At 34.8% G+C, this 22,689-nt stretch overlaps 1 protein-coding gene across 10 annotated transcripts in view; it reads left to right on the top strand.

Moving 5' to 3' along the window:
- ODR4 (odr-4 GPCR localization factor homolog) overlaps nt 1-22,689 on the top strand; it is a 59,194-nt gene that overhangs the window by 6,958 nt on the left and 29,547 nt on the right. For 5 of the 10 annotated variants that reach the window (XR_007061319.1, XR_007061320.1, XM_047423438.1 and 2 more), the window contains exons 3-11: nt 227-361; nt 3,193-3,288; nt 5,647-5,753; nt 6,793-6,829; nt 7,916-8,056; nt 8,901-8,996; nt 11,152-11,220; nt 15,518-15,646; nt 16,159-16,249. Coding sequence is in view for 8 of the 10 variants with exons in the window: in XM_047423438.1 (XP_047279394.1) it covers nt 227-361; nt 3,193-3,288; nt 5,647-5,753; nt 6,793-6,829; nt 7,916-8,056; nt 8,901-8,996; nt 11,152-11,220; nt 15,518-15,646; nt 16,159-16,249 (901 nt within the window). In the remaining 2 variants the exon portion in view is untranslated. Of the gene's footprint in view, nt 1-226; nt 362-3,192; nt 3,289-5,646; nt 5,754-6,792; nt 6,830-7,915; nt 8,057-8,900; nt 8,997-11,151; nt 11,221-15,503; nt 15,647-16,158; nt 16,250-22,689 lie in introns of those variants that run through there. The other 5 variants (XM_047423439.1, NM_001164245.2, NM_001164246.2 and 2 more) reach the window with 5 other exon arrangements.

Here is a 22,689-nt window from a genome sequence, read left to right on the forward strand (position 1 = left end):
TTAAATACATTAAAAGATAAACAACATGTGAGGGAAAGATTGTAAGGCCATCCTTGAAAATTAGCTTCCCTTTAGCTTCCATTATAATGTGGGTATTAATGATTTAACCTGTTACAAATATTACTCAGTTTTTGCATGTCATAAAAGCTAAGGAATTTAGGTATCACTCTAATTAGATTGAGGAATCAGATATCACTCTAACAAGCTTTTTAATTTGTTGTTGAAGTGTTCGTCACAAAAGGATTATGTGATTCTTGCCACTAGAACGCCACCCAAAGAGGAGCAAAGTGAGAACCTCAAACATCCCAAAGCTAAGTTGGATAACTTGGATGAAGAATGGGCCACAGAACATGCCTGCCAGGTTATCTTATTTTTTTGTTTATATGTTTAAGTTTTATTTCAAAAAAGAGCTAGAATCAAGAAGATTTAGTGAATGAGTAGAGAGAAGAGACATAGGGAGAAAGTAGCTAAAGATGACTGAGATTTTTAGTCTGGGTGTCTAGGAGGATACTGTTGGCATTACACGAGGAAGAAACAGATTTGGGATGGGTGAGTGGGAATAATGACTAAATTAATTCACTTACAAGTATTTATTGAATGAATTATATATCATCAAATAAATAATGTTAGAATAAGGTAAAAATAGAATTATTTCCTTTTCTGGGGTTGGGGGTGAGGGGAGGGAACTTAGAGGACAGGTCAATAGGTGCAGCAAGCCACCATGGCACACGTAAACCTATGTGACAGACTTGCACATTCTGCGTTTTTGTTTGTTTGTTTTAAGAAAAAGAATTTTCTTTAATAAATAAAAGATTTATTTCCTTTTCCAATCAACTTTAAATCTTTAAATCTTTTAAACTCAAACGTGTTTCTGTGTATGTAGATATATATATATATATATATGGACATATATTTGTGTCTGTGTATGTGTTTGATTATGGAGCAGTGTGTAGTTATATTTAAAAAAAAAATAAAATCTTGCCTGTAATCCCAGCACTTTGGGAGGCCAAGGTGGGTGGATCACCTGAGGTCAGGAGTTCAAGACCAGCCTGGCCAACATGGTGAAACCCCGTCTCTAGTAAAAATATGAAAAACTAGCCAGGTGTGGTGGCAGGTGCCTGTAATCCCAGCTACTTGGGAGGCTGAGGCAGGAGAATTGCTTGAACCTGGGAGGCGGAGGTTGCAATGAGCCAAGATCACACCATTGCACTCCAGACTGGGCGACAAAGCGAGACTCTGTCTCAACAAAACAAAACGAAGAAATCCAGTATTTAATTATTATTGTTTTAGTCTGTTTGGGTGGCTATTAAGGAATACCTAAGACTGAGTAATTTATAAAGAAAAAAAGGCCTGTTTGGCTCATGATTCTGCTGGCTGCAAGATTGAGCATCTGGTCAAAGCCTCAGGCTGCTTCTGTTCATGTCAGAAGGCAGATTGGAGCTGGTGTGTAAAGATCACTGGGCCAGAGAGGAAGCAAGGGGTTGGGAGGTGCTAGGCTTTTTTTTTTAACAACCAGCTCTCGTAGGAACAAATATAGCGAGAACTCATTCACTGCTCTGAGGATGGAACCAAGCCATTAATGAGGGATCTGCCCCATGACCCAAACACCTTCCATTAGGCCCCACTTGGGTTCACATTTCAACATGGTGTTTAAGGGGACAAACATGGCAACTATCTTCTAAAGAAAATATTAAGTAATGTAAAGTTAAATTCCCAATGGTTTGTAAATAACTTTCTACTCTAATTTTGCTTTTGGTCTCTCATAAAATTGTATATGACACACACACACACACACACACACACACACACAGAATATTAATGAATTTATATAGTAAATTAGCTTAACCTTTTACCTCTAGAAAGAAAAGGTTAATTTTACTTTTTCCCCTTTCTTGCTCTCACCTCCATCTCCTAAAAAATGGTTACTTTTTTGTGTTGGTGATTTTGAAAAGATATGCAGGCTCCTTATGCTAAATATGAAAACTTTATTTGTCAGAATTGTGCTACTATAGTAAATAGAATTTATTAAATCAGAGGAAAACACCGAAAGACATAGTGCAAGTAGATTAAGGATTAGAGCATGGTACCTAATTTTCTAAGACTGTACTCTGATTGATTGCTTGTACATTAAGTAATCAAAAGCTAACCAAAACACTCTAATCTCTGAGTGTAGATGATAGAAAAAAATCCATGTGGTATTAAGAACTAGCCACAATCATGTGAAGGGAAATACAGATATGGAGATATCATGGTAGTATGTATCAAAAACCTTAAAAATATGTATAACTTCTTAAACCAGTTATCCACCTCAAGGGATTTGTCCTAAACAAATAATTCTATGAATGCAGAAAGATGTACTAGGATTTTTAATCAATATTATTTTAAGGTAAAATTAGATATAGCAAAGATGCCCAGTATCAGTAAGTGGGCTTAAAAATTTGAGGTTAATCTATGCAATAGAAAATAATGGATTTTCAAGTCAGACTCCCTCTGTTCAAATTCCAGATCTAGTATGCTGCTAAAAATAGGGATACAGAGGTAGAATTACTTATTCCCTTAAGGAGCTCCCTGACCAACTAGTAGGGTTCACAGATAACTATGATATAAGACTATGTGATAAAATCCATGGGAAAACTACACCAAAGCCCTGTCGGAGTTCAGAGATGAAAAGATCAGAGAAGGCAGCTTCCTCAAGCTGCCTTTGAAGTATCCAGTAGGGTTGAGACATGCAGAAGTATAAGAAAAAGTCAGTTTCGGCCTAGGGAACACCCTGAGTAAAGACACATAGTTAGAAAGCCTAGGATGTGTATGGAAAACAGTTTATAGCCTCATTTGACACTACTTTTCAAGTAGTTTTTGACAAATATTTGAATTACTTGAGGAAAAGTAGTGTCAAATGAGGGTATAAACATCATTGACCAGATCCTAGAAAGTCTGAAATATCAATCTAAAATAAAACTTCATTTTATTTAGCTGATGGTGGGACGCCATTGAAAAAATATTTCAGTCTTTGATCTCCTGAGAAAAGGATTTATTTATTGATGTAGCTAAAGGATGTTGTTATCAGATAGTTTTATTTATAAAGTAGTTTTAAGGTGAAAAGCTAAGGACATGCTAAGCAGACAGTTTCTCAAACAGAAAGGATTGCATATAATGCCAATTTGTTAGCTAATAATATATTTCTATTTTTAGGTATCCAGAATGCTACCAGGGGGACTTTTAGTTCTTGGAGTATTTATTATTACTACTTTAGAACTGGCAAATGATTTTCAAAATGCCCTGCGTAGAGTAAGTTTGATATATCGAAAATTCTTAATGAAATCAGTTATATGTTATTTTTACTGATTATGAGTATGTGTAATGATTCTAGGCATATTTACATTTGTTTTCCATAATTCTTTTTGTTGGGGTTACATTGAAAAAGCTTTTGTCACTCAATTGCTTGGATATCTTGAGTGTAAAAAATGTTTATATTTTTAAAAACTACACATTTTATTTATTATTTTTTCCATGGGTAATTTTATTCTTTATTTAGTACACTACCCAAAACAGGGCTATCATCAGCCCATATGGCATTTCATACAAATTTGAAAAAGCTATTCTTTCCTCAAGTTAAAAAGTTAAATTATTTACTTCTCAATAATAACCATGACTAATGACAGTAATTCCATGTAAATTATGCAAACAAATAATTCATTGTAAAATATTGAAAAATTCAAATGATTAATTATAATATTAAGAACTCAAAGTCACTTGGATCTAATAATTTGTTGTAAAAAAGGCATCTTTGTGGAAGTAATTCTTTTTGACAGAAAAACTACATATTTTAAAATAATCTTTATTTTAGAGGTAATTTCTGACTATTAGGAAACAAATTATAATGCTTTAAACAGTTTTTCTTATGCAATAGCAGTATTCTGTCACACCTTCCATTTAGTACCTAGTGATTACTGTAACATGAAATTAATAGGTGCTGAAATTCTTTACCTTCTTCTCAATTCTCCGGAGATCCTGAGAGTAAAACATAAACAATCAGATTATTCCTGGACACAGTATCTATCAGAAATCTCCTGTGTTTTTTGCTTAATTGCTGCACCAGAGAATTGGGTAACATAGTGTAAAAGTAAATATGAAGGTCCACATGCTGTTTTCCCTTAAACCCAAACCTAAGGTAGATTCTGTGTAGCCAGCTCTTTTAGCATTCAGGATCCACATGAACTTTTTGAAGGGTATTTCATACCCCAAAAGAGGGGGAACCTTAAAATCTTGAGACATATAAAACCCAACCCCAACAGTATCCCAGAAAAACATTTTTTAGGTAAAAAATATACAGCTGAGAACTTCAGATGTTACAGATTTTTTCAGTCTTGTAACCTGTCCTGTCAGATGTCCCAGCCTCAAGCCTTTGATATTTGCACCTAAGGGAGTAAGGGAAGAAAATGGAGATATTCTCCTCCCTGCTAAATTGTTTAACCCTCTGCCAACTTTTCCATCTTAAATAAATTTACCTTGTTTACAATTGTTCATTCTCTTTGGCATTTTGAAATTTAACCGAAATCTATGCGTATTTAATATTAATAGCATTCATTGTGCAACCTTTTTTGGCTGGTGCTGAATTGAGGGGGTTGAATGTGGGCCCAGTGCTAGAGAGATACAGCCAGGCCCACTTTCCTTGCTTTTGTATCTTTTGTTCCTAAAAAGTATATAAAACTTTAGAAATGCTTTATCTCTGACATTACTGAGTTTCAATTATCTAATTGTTTCCACTGGCTACACTGACAAACACTACAAGAAACAGCCTTATAAAACTTGTCAGTGTCACCCATTATTGTTAAGGACTTTATTCATCATATTACATTAATATTGTGTTTCCGGAAGAATTTCTTTTTATATTATGAAGAAGGTTGTGCCTCCTCTGATGATTGTTTTTAGCTTACAGACCATGTGAATTAGGTTACAGATTAGATTTCTCTCTGCACATTATTGTTAGAAAGCTTAGACCGAAATGTATTACCACCCCTTACATCAAGTATGCATTTTTATAATTCTTATTTCTGACACAAATTTATCTCACTATTCTACTTTAACTTTCAATTTGTTATTACTATATTTTATATGTTGTTATATATTGCCTTAAGTCTTGTGTGACGTTTAAATAAGAAATGCTAAATGGGTGACATGCTTGATTTCTTTAGTTAAAATCACTTATCATTTCTCATTCTAATTAAAGTCTCTGTTCTATAGTTTATATAAATTCTAGTTGCCCCAAATTAATTTTTTGTGTCCAGTTAATCTCTAATGATAGTGAATTAAATTTTTTTATTTAAACCCAATTTTTCTGTAATTTCCTAAAAGGAATTCAAAAATGTTAGTAATTAGCTCCAGTCTTTAATTTGAAGAAAAGAAAAATTAATGGTGGCACACACCTGTAGTCCCAGTTACTTGGGAAGCTGAGGTGAGAGAATCACTTGAGCCCAGGTGTTCAAGGCCAGCTTGAGCAACATAGTGAGACCCCTTCTCCAATAAATAAAGAATCATGGAATTTTAAAGCTAAATGAGAGTTGGGGACATTATAATTGCCTATTTCAACACTCATCTTTTTTTTTCATTTTACATTCAATTAGTGTGTATTTTTCTCTCTTTCAGCTAATGTTTGCTGTGGAAAAGTCTATAAATAGAAAGAGATTGTGGAATTTCACAGAGGAGGAAGTCTCAGAACGAGTGACACTTCACATTTGTGCTTCTACAAAAAAGTATCTTTTGTTCAGTTTATGGTTTAAAAGTACAAAGTACCAAAATAATATTCTTGCAAGGTTTTTTTGCTATTTATTTAAATCATCATTTAAAAAATAGGCATAGTTTTGTAAGATTTTTCTGTAAATAACATGGAATTAGAGCCACCAATAATAATAATAGCAATAATGGTTGTTAATCATGTCCCAAGGTGATAAAAAGCTTGAGATCTGTAATATGAAAGACTCAGGATTCTGAATTTTTTACCAGCTATCTGCCCTGTACATCCAAGCACAGCAGATTCCCTACAGAGATAAATGCCTAACTGATGGCTTAGGCAAAGTAATGTTTTTATTATGTTAAAGTTTTCACCTCCAGTTTCTATAGATAAGGATGTACAATTCAAAGCACAGGTGCACAGAGCTGGATGGTATAGGACATCGGAGAAATTCTTATGTCTTTGGCTAAGATGAAATGACACTAAAAGCCAGTTACACGGCCTCTTACCAGGGCAAGAGTACCTCCCAAGCAAGGGTCATCCTCACCAAAGGAGTGACACGATCCATGGACTTCCAAAGACAGAATTTTAAAAGTGACCATTCCTGCAGAAGCAGGGCTTTTTTTTTTTTTAACAACAACAAAAAAAATCTTTAGTATTTAACTGCAAAGTTTCATATACAAGCCCTTTAATCCAATAAATAGTCTCAGGTTTGACCTCATATAAAACAGTGGTACTTTTTCTTATGGAGAGTGTATATTTGAGAAGAATCTCACGAGTGCTTTGATTCTATTTATTGCAATTAGCGGGATTCATAAAAGGTAGGAAATGATTTTCAAGCACCGCAAGTACTATAGTGATAGCAGTTTGTATGTATGATTATATATACACATATGTATATATATGCACACATGTACATATATGTACGCATATCTTTAAAGTGTTATGATTTTGTAAGAACTTTTGGATGCGTGCATTTTTTAGTTTATTTTTTGATAGTTTATATTCTTTTAGTTACCAATAATGCCTTTTTTGGTTATTTCTGTCCTTAATTAGTGAAGAATATTTTGTCGAACTTATGATATCCATGATCCAAAGGTAAGAAATTTACTCTTTAAAGATTTTTCTGTGTCACAAAGTATTTTCAATCAAAATTCAGCTTTTATTTAGTTTTAATAATTTCCATTGCCATCACTTCCTATTGATGCCTACAAACAACTGTAGTTTTTATTTTGAAATATGATTAATTTTATTACAGATAAGGAAAACTTTTTTGTGCGTGACAGGGTCTCACTCTCTTGCCCAAGCTAGAGTGCAGTGATGCAGTCATAGCTCACTGCAGCCTCCACCTCTTGGGCTCGAGGGATCCTCCCACCTCAGCCTCTTGAGTAGCTGAGACTATAGATGTGCACCACTGCACCTGGCTAATTATTTTTGTTTTTTGTTTTTTGTTTTTTTTGATAGAGATAGGGTTTCACCATGTTAGTTATGTTTGTCTTGAACTTCTGGGCTCAAGTGATCTGCCTGTCTTCGCCTCCCAAAGTGCTGAGATTACGGGCTTGAGCCACCACGGCCAGCCAACTTTTTAAAAAATTGTTAAAATATCTTTGTTAATCTCCTCCTACCTTGTTTGTGTATTTAGTTTTATATTTGAGAGGCTGGTAGTAAAAGTGACTGAGGACTTTTGGTAGCTGCACTGCCTATTAAACAAGCTATGTGTATTCAGCAAAACCCAGATTAGCACTTTGCTAATGCATCTAAAAGGGTTGTGAAAAAGTAACTTTGCAGTGTCATTAGCAAGGATGGGACAGAAAGGAGAATGCCTGCCACCTAGGAGTTGCTCAGTGATTATTTGCTTCAGATCAGAATCTTCAGTATTGATACTGTTGAAGCTAGAGGATCAAAGGACCTTTCAGAATTCTAAACATGGAAATTTCTGATTCTTTTTCTGCCTACCATTGGGAGGAGAAGTATTGCCAAGGATGTATTGAAGAGTACTGAACTTAACACATGCTTTATTTTGTGTTTAGTTCAACCTATAGTCTTTTGATCAAGGGTTTAGCCATATATGTTAGATATGAGTTTGTATGCGTTATTTAGGTTGTATATTTAATAATGTTTTGTTGATCCATGTATTTTATCTAGACTACATCATAGTTATTTTTCTCCCTTCTCCACTGCTAGAGTTCAGCAAGACCAGCAGATTGGAAGTATCAAAGTGGATTATCATCCTCATGGCTTTCTTTAGAGTGTACAGTTCACATTAATATTCACATCCCACTTTCTGCTACTTCTGTCAGCTATACTCTGGAGAAAAATACAAAGGTACCAGGGTAAAATGAATTTTCTTCAGTGATTGCTGAGTGAACAATCTGCTTTTATTCTGCTTACATGTGTCATTCATTTTACAATCCTCAAAAATTACATTCTGCTTACAATGTTGTTATGTGAGTAACTTATTACCGCAGCCAAATTAGAAATTTTTAGAAATTTTTAGAAGTGGAACAATGTCATAATACTAGTATATTCAGTTTAATAATAACTAATAATTTAGTTGTTAGACTAAATATACTAGTACTTATTATGTGCTGATTAAGTATTATTATGTGCTTTGTCATTAAACTAAATATAACAGTATTCATTAATTAACATGTAAAATGTAATTAATGTAAGAAGCTATACTGTTTGGACTTTTAGCTTTCTCTTAGTACTTAGGTTTTTTTGTCTTCCTTTTTCCAGTTCTTTTTTGTATTTCTATACCATTCTTTTATTTTTATCTTATTTTTCTTCATTTTTCCCATTGAAGATGTCAAATAGAGCTTTTTTTTTTTATTTTTTAGACTTATTTGATGCTTTTTTCTCACTTTTTTTTTTAAGGTAGTGGGCATTAAATTTTATTTAACTGATCATGTACTTAATAACCTCCTGAGTCTGTGACATAAATGTTATTCTGGGATAAAGATCAGAAAATAACTATTATTAAATATAATAAGGTATCAAGAATGGGGGTATACTTTTTTTTAATTTGTGAAACTAGATTTAAATGCTGCAGTAATGAGATTTAGGGATTTTAATATTTCAATTTATTAGGTGGAACAAAGTAGATTATAGGAAGTTTAATTGAGATGGCATTGTATCTGAAAGATTTCCATGTTGTGTTTCTGTTAAGAATGGACTTACACGCTGGGCCAAGGAAATAGAAAATGGTGTTTATTTGATTAATGGACAAGTTAAAGATGAAGATTGTGACCTATTAGAAGGACAGGTAAGTTAAGAGAAAATCATCTTATTAAATTGTTAGTGCTTAAGGAAAAATAAAACATGACTTATTTTTAGTCCTTGCCTACAAGAAAACTGATTTCATCTACCTCTCATTTCTGATTTCTGATTTAAAGTAAAAGGCAAATGTTTTTCTTAGAAAAACAACCTCATTAAAAAGTAGGCAGAGGATATGAACAGACACTTTTCAAAAGAAGACATACATGCAGCCAAGAATCGTATGAAAAAAAACTCAGCATTACTATCGGTAGAGAAACACAAATGAAAACCACAATGAGATACCATCTCACACCAGTCAGAATCGCTGTTATTAAAAAGTCAAAAAATAACAGATGCTGGCAAGGCTGCAGAGAAAAAGGAATGCTTATAAACCGTTGGTGGGAGTATAAATAAGTTCAACCATTGTGGAAGGCAGTGTGTTGATTCCTCAAAGACCTAAAAACAGAGATACCATTTGACCCAGCAATCCTATTACTGGCTATACCCTCAAAGGAATATAAATTGTTTTATTGTAAAGACACATGCATGCATTATGTTCATTGCAGCACTATTCACAATAGCAAAGACATGGAATCAACCTAAATGCCCATCAATGACAGACTAGATAATGAAAATGTGGTACATATACACCATGGAATACTGTGCAGCCATTAAAACAGAACGAGATCATGTCCTTTGCAGGAACATGGATGGAGCTGGAGGCCTTTATCCTTAGAAAACGAATGCAGGGGCCAGGCATGGTGGCTCATGTCTGTAATCCCAGCACTTTGGGGGGCCGAGGTGGGTGGGTCACTTGAGGTCAGGAGTTTGAGACCAGCCTGGTCAACATGGTGAAACCCTGTGTCTACTAAAAATACAAAAGTTAGCTGGGCATTGGTGGCAGGTGCCTGTAATTGCAGCTACTTGGGAGGCAGGGGCCAGGCGTGGTGGCTCATGCCTGTAATCCCAGCACTTTGAGGGGCCAAGGTGGGCAGATCACTTGAGGTCAGGAGTTCAAGACCAGCCTGGTCAGCATGGTGAAACCCTGTCTCTACTAAAAATAACAAAAATTAGCCGGGTGTGGTGGCAGGTGCCTGTAAGCACAAGCTACTCGGGGTGCTGAGGCAGAAGAATGGCTTGAACCTGGGAGGTGGAGGTTGCATTGAGCCGAGATCGTGCCACTGCACTCCAGCCTTTGGCTACAGAGTAAGACTCCATTTCAAAATAAAAGAAAAGGAAAAGAAGAAAACTAACAGAGGAACAGAAAACCAAATACCGTATGTTCTGACTTATAAGTGGGAGCCAAATGATGAAAACACATGGACACATAGAGGGGAAAAACACACACTAAAAGGAGGGAGAAGGAGAGGATCAGGAAAAATAAATAATGGGTACTAGGTTTAATACCTGGGTGATGAAATAATCCGTATATCAAACCCCCATGACTGAAGTTTATCTGTGTAACAAATCTGCACATGTACTCATGAACTTAAAAGTTAAAAAATAAGTCCAGGAAAAAAAAGAAAATGATGTAATTGGAATCCTGAAACTTTACAGGAGTGTCATCTGAATTTCATCTGATTTCCAAATTGTAAACTGCTGACCTGCAACCAAAGGCCACATGTTGTTCTGCCCTGATGACAGTTCAAAAGCTATGGCCATTTTATAAAAGAGGTTTATAGAGGCTTCTAAAATAGCTTTGACCTGAAGGAAGCGGAACTTTTGTGATCTCTCACTTTTTAAAGCAGGGATCAGCAAACTTTATGTGAAGAGAAAAATACTACATATTTAGATTTCACAGGCTGTATTTTTATCTCTACTGTGTAGCATGAAAGCAGCTACAGGAGATACATAAGTGAATGATCCTGGTTGCATACCGGTAAAACTTTATTTACAAAGATGAGTGGCAATGTGGGTATTTGCCCACAGGCAGTGGTTTGCCAGTTGTTGCTTTAGAGGAATGAAAGTATGGAATTAATTGTTTTAAAGAGTGTACATTGATACAGAATACATAAAGTAATATCTATATAAAAAGCTAAATTAAAATAATTAAAAGACTTGTTTTTTTCTAAGTTACTTAGTATATGTACAATAGTTTATAAGTTGTCTTTTATGTTTTACAGGCTTCACAGTTTGGCTTTTTAACTTTTGTGTTTTTTCAGAAAAAATCTTCTAGAGGAAATACTCAAGCAACTAGTCATTCTTTTGATGTCAGAGTGCTAACGCAGTTGGTAAATATTTTAAAATAACACTTAAAATATTTATTAGCATAACCATAATGAAACTGTTTCTGTTTTTATTTTTCTCATTAGAGAATAAAAGGATTTTAGAGCTGTAAGAGACTGTATGAAATGGCTGGTTATAGGAAGGTTATTCCCAAGAAACATCATTTTAATAAAACCTGTTTGGGTTTTTTGCCTCAAGGATATTAAAATTTTAACATCAATAGATAGCAGTTTAAAAAAATATGTACACATACATGCATACATATACATGTATGTATGTGTACATATTTTGGGTTGTAGCTTTTATAGTTAAAGTTGCAATTTTAACAACTTAAAAGATGTGTACACAGAGGTGCAAAGAGTTGTCATATGCTTATTTTGAAGTAGATTAATTAGATTTATACCCCCTGATTTGATAAAAATCACAAAGTATTAATTAGCAAGTTTTATATTTATGTATGGTTGCTTTAATTTACACGTCTTTTCGAAAATTTAAAAGTTGGATATCTTAAAGAATAAAAAGTTAAAGCCACTAATTATTCCTAAAAATACATACCTTTGATTTTAATCCTACTTGAAATTATCCTAAAGAACAGACAAGGGTATAAAATAGCAAACGCGTGTTTGTAGGAAACTTTATTTCAATATTATACTGGATTTTGAAACAGAAATACTCTCAGGACTTGTGTTTTTTTGAACTGAATAGAATAGAATTAAAAGCAATTTGGCATTTGAGGATGTTTTAGTTTCTTCTTTTTCTGTGTGTAGCAATAGCGCATTAGTAAATTGTCTTTGGGCCTATGCCACTCAATGTGAGTTCTCAATTTCATTTTTCAATACCTTAGAGGTATTTTAGTCTCTGATTTTCTACTTTGTCTTGATTTTAGAAGTGTCCTTTGTTTTGAGGCTGGCTATTCCACTACTTATGTGCTTTTCACTAGTTAGGCTTACTTCATGGTTTATTAAACAATTTGGTTAAGATTATTTTATTAGTAGTATAAAATTGTAGTTGGGAGATGTATAGAGTGTGGGAATATAGAGAGATGAGTGGAAGATAATCTCATGAGATAATTTATTGTAGTAGTAATATTATTGTTATTTTTGAGACGGAGTCTCGCTCTGTCTCCCAGGCTGGAGTGCAGTGGTGCGATCTCGGCTCACTGCAAGCTCTGCCTCCTGGGTTCACGCCATTCTCCTGCCTCAGCCTCCTGAGTAGCTGGGACTACAGGCGCCTGCCACCACACCTGGCTAATTTTTTGTATTTTTAGTAGAGACGGGTTTCACTGTGTTAGCCAGGGTGGTCTCAATCTCCTGACCATATGATCCGCCTGCCTCGGCCTCCCAAAGTGCTGGGATTACAGGCGTGAGCCACCGCGCCTGGCCAGGTGTAGTAATAATATTATATAGTATAATATATTTTTGGTAGTCACTCCACCGATCACCTAACTGGAAATTTTGAAGTGACTAATATACAGTAAGTAGTCAGTAAGTATTTATTGCCACTTTTCTCCCAGTTAAGTCTTATTGATTCCTTATTTGTAGTATTAAGCTTTTCTTTTATTTTCCATACAGTCCTGCTGTCATTAGCCTTACAACAGTATTATTTTACCTAAACTAGCACAAGTAGCCCTTAACTGGTCTCTCTTCATCTATACATTCTTGTCCAAAGTGATTGTTTCTCTAAATCCCTTCTACCTTTGTTAGTATATCTCTTGAAATACTTTCCATTTATCTACTCTATCCTGTTTATACACTCAGATGATCATTTCTGAATCATAGTTTATGTTCAGTTATTAATTTTTTTCAAGAAGTATTTATTGAGTTTGTACAACAGCCGGACACTGATTATGGTACTCCTTGCTCAAAATTTCTTAAGTGTTCTGTACTGACTAGTTAGAGAAGTCCAACTCAGGGTTCTTCATAGCCTCAGCATACCTTTTTGTTCTTATTTTCTACCTCTTATTTTCTAGATGTATGCTTGCCATACCTTTAAAGCTCTGTATTTCCTGAACTATGTATCATGTCTTTGCTCTTTTCTCTGTCACCCAAACTGTCAAAATCCTATCTGTACATTAAGATCTAGCCCAAATGCCACTACTTGTGTAAGATTTCATTTGGTTCCCATAGAAATGGGGATCTTCTCTTTTTCAAATGCCATGTCAGCATCATAGAAGTTCCCTCACCTATAGGCTGTTTGGCAGCCAGGTTATTCCTAAGTCCAAATAACCAAGAGGAGTTTACATTTGTAGACCCCAACTGGTCTACATTTCCACCTAAAAGGAATGAGTCAGACCTTACATTCTTTAAAACTTTTCCTGGCTGAGCATGGTAGCTCATGCCTGTAATCCCAGCACTTTGGGAGGCCTAGGCAGGGTGATCGCTTGAGCCTAGGAGTTCAAGATGAGTCTGAGCAACAAGTGAAACCCTGTCTCTACAAAAAAATACAAAAATTAGCTGGGGGTGATGGTGTGTGCCTGTAGTCCCAGCTACTTGGGAGGCGAAGGTGGGAGGATCGATTGAGCCTAGGAGCTTGAGGCTGCAGTGAGCTCTGATAGCATCACTGTACTCTAGGCTGGATGACAGAACAAGACCCTGCCTCAAACAAAACAAAATAAAACTAACCAACCAACCAAAAAAATACCTCTTTTCTTTAATATGTGTGTGTATAGTCTTTAATAGTCTAGTCTGTTTTGGATAACAATGCCATAATTATAGATAGATAGATAGATAGATAGATAGATAGATAGATATATGTATATACACACATACACATATATTTACATATACTAATATATAAATGTGTTATATGTTAAAAATATATAAATTATATGTTAAATATGTAAAATAGGACATTCTTTTTAGAGTAGTTTTGTCTACAATAAAAAGTTATGGAGTAGATAGGGGAAGCCTGTTACTCCTCCTCCAACCCCACCTTATTGATGTATCAATGAACTCTACATGTGTCATATGGAAGCTTATTCCAGACATTGTATCAGCATCGTCACACTGCTGCTTGGTTTGATGATAGCCATTTTTGAATGGACCCAGGACCTTTGGAGCTGTGTGGTCTGTGGCAAATTTTTTGTCAACAAGTCCTTGACCATCTTAAAGTTTAAATTGTTTAACAACACCTAGAAGATTTACATTGCCTTAGACATTGCTTGAATTACACTAGACATCAATAATGCTCTTTCAATAGCTATGCATGTCAGTATTCTCCTCTTCATTATTTTTCCGCATTTATTCCTGATTGCATAAGCACATAGGCACAAAGCACTTTTCACAAGTTGTATGATTTGACTTTTGTTCTTCAGAATTGATTTGGTTGTTGAATGACTTATACTCCAAGTGTTCTTAGAACATAAATTACTTCCTTACCATTTCCATTTTTTGGTTATTTTTTGTAAATCATTATTTTTTGTTTCCACTGTTATTATAGGCCTCTATTACAGGTTGAGTGTGCCTTATTTGAAATGCTTAGGACCAGAAGTGTTTTGGGTTTGGGATTTTTTTTAGATTTTGTAATATTTGCAGAATACATACCAGTTGAGCATCTCTAAGCCAAAAATCTAAAATCTTATATGCTCCAATTACCTTTTCCTTTGAACATCACATTGGTGCTCAATAAGTTTTGGATTTTGGAGCATTCAGGATTTTTAGATTAGGGATGCTCAACCTGTAGTACTTTAACTATTTTGATACTGTCCTTGTTTTTGGCACTTATTAAGATGATGGGGTTGAAAATATATGTGAAACACCTGAAAACCGAACAAGAGCACTGGCATTCCTTAGACTAAAGAGGATGGGACTAGTCTATGAAAGTTTTTGGTTGAAAGTGTGTAAATATATGTGTCTGTGCATTGCTTGTAGTTTTACCATAGTTATCACATCCCACTTTGTATTTGTTATTGTGAACTTATTTTGCATTGCACAACTTATATCTAGTACATCATATCTTCTTTGTATATCTTTTAATCATCACAGTACTGATGTGAATAATTTGCAAATAATATATTTTTAGGAGCATATCGAGTGAATATTGAACCATTTTAGATGGTTATGTTAGAAAAATTTAGATGTAGTTGTGTTTAATTTCATTATATCTTCAAAATGACTGGAAAATAATATATAACTTATAAAAACAAATATGAAGGCCTTTAAATAATTTGCAGAGAATAATTTCAAATGCTTGGCTCAGTCAAAACTTTGTTCTCTCTTCATAAAATCGCTAATATAATGTTTAAATATTTCCTGTAGTTAATCATTGTTGGTTATTAGAACTTAAACAGATTTTGTCTTTCAGCTCCTGAATTCAGACCACAGATCCACAGCCACAGTCCAGATATGTAGCGGTTCTGTAAACCTTAAGGGTGCTGTGAAATGCAGAGCTTATATCCACAGCAGTAAACCCAAAGTTAAAGATGCTGTGCAGGTACAAAAAGGAATAACGAGCATATGGAACCATGTTAACTATTAACAAAAACCTAAAATTTTACCATTTTTTAATCTTATATTTTGTAATTATTAATTCGATTTTAACTGATAATGGCCTATTGTGCAGTCCAAATGTACCATATAATTGGTGTGAAGATTTTCATATGTAGAGTATCTATTTTGTGCCTTTTTAAAAATGATGGCTATACAAGTTTAGTAAGTGTTCCACTGTTATACATATTAGTATCTAATTTGGAACACTGCAATTATTTTTTTAGATGTGAAATTTTATTCATTTATCTGTTTTTAACTATTTAGATAAATTTATCATTAAACTATAAATTTGTTAATAAGTGTGCTAAATAAGTGGAAATAAAACATTGAATGATGTATCAGTTATTTAGTGGGCATGATTGTACTGGAAAGCAAATTATTTTTTTTGTTAGTTAAATATTGTAAATCTAAAGTATTTTATTTCTTACTGTGTTTTTTGTGTGTTTTTCCCTGTAGGCAGTAAAGAGGGATATATTGAACACAGTTGCTGATCGTTGTGAAATGCTATTTGAGGATCTGCTTTTGAATGAAATTCCAGAAAAAAAAGTTATGAGTATAAAATAAGTACTTTTTTGCGTATCTTCAACTGATATAGTAATAAGATATCAAGATATAGCAGATACGTCATCTTTTATAGCTACCTATCTATATTTTCAAGCAGTATATCATCTTTTATTATTGGATGAAAATTTTTCAGTTGCTACTCAGATTTTTTTTTTTTTTTTTAGACAGAGTCTCACTGTGTTGCCCAGGCTGGGGTGCAGTGGCACAGTCATGGCTCACCTGCAGCCTCAGCCTCTTGGGCTCAAGCAGTCCTCCTACCTCAGCCTCCCTAGTAGGTGGGCCTGCAGGCACATGCCATGATGCCTTGCTAATTTTTGGTATTGTTTTTTTAGAGACAGGGTTTTGCCATGTTGCCCAGGCTAGTTTCAAACTCCTGAACTCAAGTGATCCACTGTCTTTGGCTTCCCGAAGTGCTGGGATTACAGGTGTGAGCCACCATGCTTGGCTCTAGAAAAACGTTTTAGAACACTATCAAATTTAGCAAATTTGTCAACAATTAAGAATTTCAGGGAGGATTTTTAAAAAAATTAATTCCAAGTGAACTTCTCCTGCCAGAATGAGTAAACTTTGTTAACATTTTAAAGTTAGTATTTTTTGTTGATATCTATGAGTATTTTAAATAATTTAGCCATAATCAAAATATTATTAGTGTTAAATACTATATAATAGCTCCTTTAGTAGGTACTATTTATATAAACTACACTAGTTTATATGCTTCTCAGCTATTACTCTAACAGACTTCATTACGTTTAAAAAAGGCTGAGTTACAGTATCTTACCCATTAATAACGATTGCAGCTTTTGGGAAACATAACAATTTATACCATCGCAGTAATCTGTATTAAAAAATTTTTTTAATCAAAAGCAAGTTAAAATATTGAGTACACTTTTTAAAGCTACATCATCATCTCCCCATTCTTTTTTTTTTTCTTTTTTTTTTTTTTTTTTTGAGACGGAGTTTCGCTCTGTCGCCCAGGCTGGAGTGCAGTGGCGCGATCTCGACTCACTGCAAGCTCCGCCTCCCGGGTTCACGCCATTCTCCTGCCTCAGCCTCCTGTGTAGCTGGGACTACAGGCACGCGCCACCATGCCCGGCTAATTTTTGTATTTTTAGTAGAGACGGGGTTTCACCGTGTTAGCCAGGATGGTCTCGATCTCCTGACCTCGTGATCCGCCCGTCTCGGCCTCCCAAAGTGCTGGGATTACAGGCATGAGCCACCGCGCCCGGCCTCCCCATTCTTATTATTCTGATGTTAGTGGATTTGCAATTCACATTTAGATATGTACATAATTGAAACATTCATATTAGCTTCGGGTTCCAGCAATTCTCCTGCCTCAGCCTCCCGAGTAGCTGAGATTACAGGTGCCCACCACCACGCCTGGCTAATTTTTGTATTTTTAGTAGAGACAGGGTTTCACCATGTTGGCCAGGCTGGGCTCGAACTCCTGACCTCAGATGATCCACCCACCTCGGCCTCCCAAAGTGCTGGGATTATAGGCATGAGCCACCATGCCCAGCCCACATTAGCTTTTGAAGGGAATATTTTTATGTTCATAGGAAAAAAAGCATAGCTCCTCTATATAACCAACTTCTTTTAGTACTACTGATAGCTAGTATGTTAAGTTTGATGGACTAATTATAATCTTTTTTTTATATTCCTAGTATGCTGGATTCTATGATTGGCAGATTTAACATTTATCCTTCTCGTAATTCACAACCCTAAAGTTCCATTTACTAATAATTTATAATTTTGCTGGAACATGAATTTGAATCTTACATGCAACAATTGGATTGAGAGTTTTGGGAGGGCAGTATGTGGGACCTGTTCACATAGTCCATCAGTCTAGCAGCCCCATCTCAGTGTGGCTTTGTTTTTGCAATTTGACTTTGAGTTTGTGGTAACTCCTGTGGTGTAAATCATTGCTTCAGGTTCTGAGCAACAGTGTATATTATAGCTGCATTGCAGGTTTCAGGATTTGCAGGGTATGGGGATGTATCCACCATTATTGTTAAAGATTTACCTTAGCAGACACATTAGTATACTCTTCTATTTAAAAATCCTTTATAAAAGTGGTATTATATGGCTATCCTGGTATTCTTTCATATTGTTAGTACTTTGAAATTTTTGCTGATGTTCAATTAGTAAAATTAATGGCCCCTAACAGCAGTTGTACTGTTTGTATGTTAAACTTGATACATTTAGAAGTTAATGTTAAAGCCTAATCCTAAATTTTTAAAAGGTGAAAAAGTTTTTACTGGCAATTGGGTGGCCTTGGGACCTGTGTGAAGAGCATAGACTGTAGTTTGGTGGAAAGAGCAAAGACTTTGAAGTTCTCGGATTCTGTGTGTATTCTGCTCCTAGCAGAGTGACCTCAGGCAAATGACTTTATAGGCATCGTCCGTCTTTCTGTCTGTCTTTCTTTCTCTCTTTCTTTCTTTCTCTCTCTCTCTCTCTCCTTCCTTCCTTCCTTCCTCTCTTTCTCTTTCTTTCTCCTTCCTTCTTCATCCCATCTCATCCCTTCCCTCCCCTTCCCTCCCTTCCTCCCTCTCTTTCTATGATCACATAGTTTTTGACATTCTTTTGGTGTGATGTATCACATTATTAATTTTTGTATGTTGGATCATCCTTGAATCTCTGGAGTAAACCCCACTTGATTATGATGTATTATCTTTTTGATGTACTGTTGCATTTGGTTTGCTAGTATTTTGTTGAGGATTTTTGTGTCTATGTTCATCAGGGATATTGTCATGTAGTTTTCTTTTTTTGTGTCTTTGGTTTTGGTATTAAGGTTATGCTGATCTCATAGAATGAGTTAAGAGTTCTCTGTGCTTCATTTTTTTGTAATAGTTTGAGAATAATTGGTATTATTTCTTTTTTAAAGGTTCAGTAGAATTCATTGGTAAAACCATCCAGTCTTGGAGTTTTCTTTGGAGATTTTTCATTACTGATTCAATCGTGATTTTTTATCAGTCTGTTCAGGTTTTCTATTTCTTCTTGTTTTCTGTCTTCTTTTCTCTCTCTCTCTTTTTCTTCTTCCTTTCTTTCTACGAAGACAAGTTCTCTGGTTCTGTGTCTATTCTGCTGCTAGCAGAGTAACCTCAGACAAATAACTTTATAGGCATCCTATTCTTTCTTTCTTTCTTTCTTTCTTTCTTTCTTTCTTTCTTTCTTTCCTTTCTTTCTTTCTCTTCTTTTCCCTCCCTCCTTCCCTTCCTTTCTTCCTTTGTTTCTTTCCTTCTCTCCTCTCCTCTTTTCTCCTCTCCTCTTCCTCTACTTCCTCTCCTTTCCTTTTCCTTTTCCTTTTCTCTCTCCTTCCTTCCTTCCTTTCTTCCTTTCTTCCTTCTTTTTTTTAATGAGAGACAGGGTCTCTCTCTGTCACCCAGCCTGGAATGCAATAATGCAGTTGTAGCTCACTGCAGCCTTGAACTCTTGGTCCTAAGTGATCCTCCTGCCTCAGCCTCCTGAGTAGCTGGGACTACAGGCAAGGGCCACCACGCCTGGCTAATTTTTTTTTTTTTTAACTTTTTTGTAGAGACAAGAGTCTTTGCTATGTTGTCCAGGCTGTAGTCCTGTGGCTGTGCACAGGTATGATCATAGCTAAATACAGCTTTGAACTCCTGGCTGTAAGGGATCTTCCTCCCTCAGCCTCCCAGGTAGCTGGGACTACAAGCGCACAGCAGTATGCCTGAGTAATCTTTTAATTTTTACCTTTTTGTAGAGATGGGGCTTTGTTATGTTGTCCAGGTTGTCTCAAACTTCTGGCCCCAAGCAGTCCTCCCAAAGCACTGGGAATTATAGGCATGAGCCACTATGAATGGCCCCATTTTCTTATATATAAAATAGGAATTATGGTACCTACTTTTTGAGGCTGCAAGATTAAATGAGATGATGTTTGTAAGGCCCCTAATAAAATTGGTGTAAGCCAAGCCCTCATCAAGTGGTATTGATACCATGTTGGAGATGATGGAGGAGAACAACTTATGTTAATTGTCTTTAAAATGCCTTAACTTCAATTTTTGGGAAATTTAGCATATTTCAAACAGAAATAAGATGTAAATATATATTCAACACTTTAGTAACAGGATAATTATTCCAACAACATATTAGTTGATCTTAGGTATCAAGATAAAAGAATACATTGTAAGTGTGATAATATAAATAAATGTAAATTCTTTAAAAAAATTTTTTTAATTTTTAACTTTTGTGGATACATAGTAGGTATATATATATATTTATGAGGTATATGAGATGTTTTGTTACAATCATGTGATATAAAATAATCATCATGGAGAATGAGTTATCCATCCCCTGAAGCATAAATAAATGTAAATTCTGATGTTGAATTTATACACCAAATTGTTAGATTTTAGATTTTATCCTCATTTTACTTTGCTTATTTTCTTATATACTGGTAAGATCTTATAGATGCTGTAATATAGTAAAATGTAGAATGTATGCCATAAAATTAACCTGAATTAGAGTATTTTTGCATGCATGAGGAAGTCTGTTAAGGACATAATAACTTTATATATCTGATCTCTAAACTAAACCTAGGCTTTTAATTTTGGCTATCCAGATAAAAGAACTTAGTATTTCATTGTCAGTTTAAAAAAAAAAAAAAACTCCAATTAATCCTTGCACTTGTTGTGATCTTCCTCTTTGATTCCTCTTAAGATACAGCCTAAGCCTTCTTCACTGTTATAAGTCTTCATTTGATCCTGCTCAACTTATTCTCATAGATGACCTACTCATTGTGAAAATGGAGGTCATCAGTTATGAAACCTCTTACCTTTGCCCATCCCCACATCAGTATCCTCTGTACCACTCCACTGTCTTCCCAGAACATTTGTAATCCTGTTTGTCTGTGCCTATGATTCCACTCTCTGAATGGCACTTCTCCTATCCCTTTATGCAGATGTCCTCTTATCCTTTAAGCTTCAACTGTGCTATCACCTATTCTAAAAAAAAATTCTATGAAAAATACATAAATAACTTAAAAGTTTCAGTACTACTCTGATACCAGCTAGGACATTTAACCAATAGAAACCCAATTCTTATTATATTGGCTTAATTTTAAAATTTTTTTATTTGTTTTGACTTTATTCAGATAATGTTGAACTAGATACTATGACATGAGGATATTCCTAAAGGATTCTGCTTTGGAGTGCTTTTTGAGATGTGTCTTTTCCAAAAGATTTCTCCTCCCATTTAAACCTCAGACCAACAGAAAACGAGTCTTACTTAGATACTAAATTGCTAATTTAACTTCTTAATTTGAAAGTTGTAGTGCTTTTTCTTTTTAATGAGTAATTTAAATTTATTGGAACCAGTTATTTAACGTTTGATTTTTTTAGCTTGTTATTTTTCAGATAGACCAAGAATTGATGTAGTTTGAAATGGTTTTAAAATTTTGCATGCCAATTGCACATGCACATTAGAGTCATTTTTGAGTTTTTACTTAATCTGTTTCAAGTAACTGTGGCTCAAAATAAAATAATATAGTCCTAATTTCAATGTGTGGACAATTTTCGTGCTACAGTACAAATTGCAGTAATATTCTTCTACAGCTAGGAGGCAGTCTGGTCAAAGAGTAAAATTTCTCTCCCAGTTCTCATGTGCAAACAAGATAATACACAGAATCTGGAAGGAACACGTAGTTTAAGCCATTGCATTTCCTGTGACACTTAAGGCATTGTTCGTCATCTTCTGTTTGTAATTATGTAAAGTTACCACTAGTTTCTTGACAACGAAGTCTAGGTTACTATTAAAATAAGCCCTAGTTTTCCACTTGATCTTTACATTAGTAACTTTTTAATCATATCTGTTGCTGAAAGAGGTCATTCTTTTCACAAAATTTCTATCTTTCTGATAGTTCATAAGGATCGTAGCATTTAACTAAAAAGTAATTATATATTTACATGCAACAGTGACTATGTTAGAAATTAGGGGAAATAATATATTCCAGTTTGTAAGTATTCACAGAAGAATGAGATATTTGTTATTTATTTAGATTTATTTTTTTCTAAAAATGATTTAAGGCTTTTTACAAAGAAGCATAAGTAAACAAGTGAAAATAAATATTAGTAATAAAGAGTCAAAGGGAAGGTAAAAAAAGAAAGCAAAATGGAGTTGGTAGTGAGATAGGTACACAAAACTGTATGTATGACTAGATGTCCTAAACATGCTTGATATATAGGAAGGGGGCTACATCTAGTAAGATGAAATTCATGGGGAGATTAATACAAAAATGTATTCTATCAGATCCTGTGCACTAGATGTAAGGTGGCCAGTAATTTGGCTCCAAACTTGGATGAAGAAGAGAAAAACCAACTATAAAATGTACAGTGCCTATGAGGCTAAAACAGACAAGAAGGACAATAGTTTCTGACATCAAGGACAAAATTGTCTCTTGAGTGTTCTTCA

Source organism: Homo sapiens, chromosome 1, assembly GCF_000001405.40.
Source record: "Homo sapiens chromosome 1, GRCh38.p14 Primary Assembly".
NCBI lineage: Eukaryota > Metazoa > Chordata > Mammalia > Primates > Hominidae > Homo > Homo sapiens.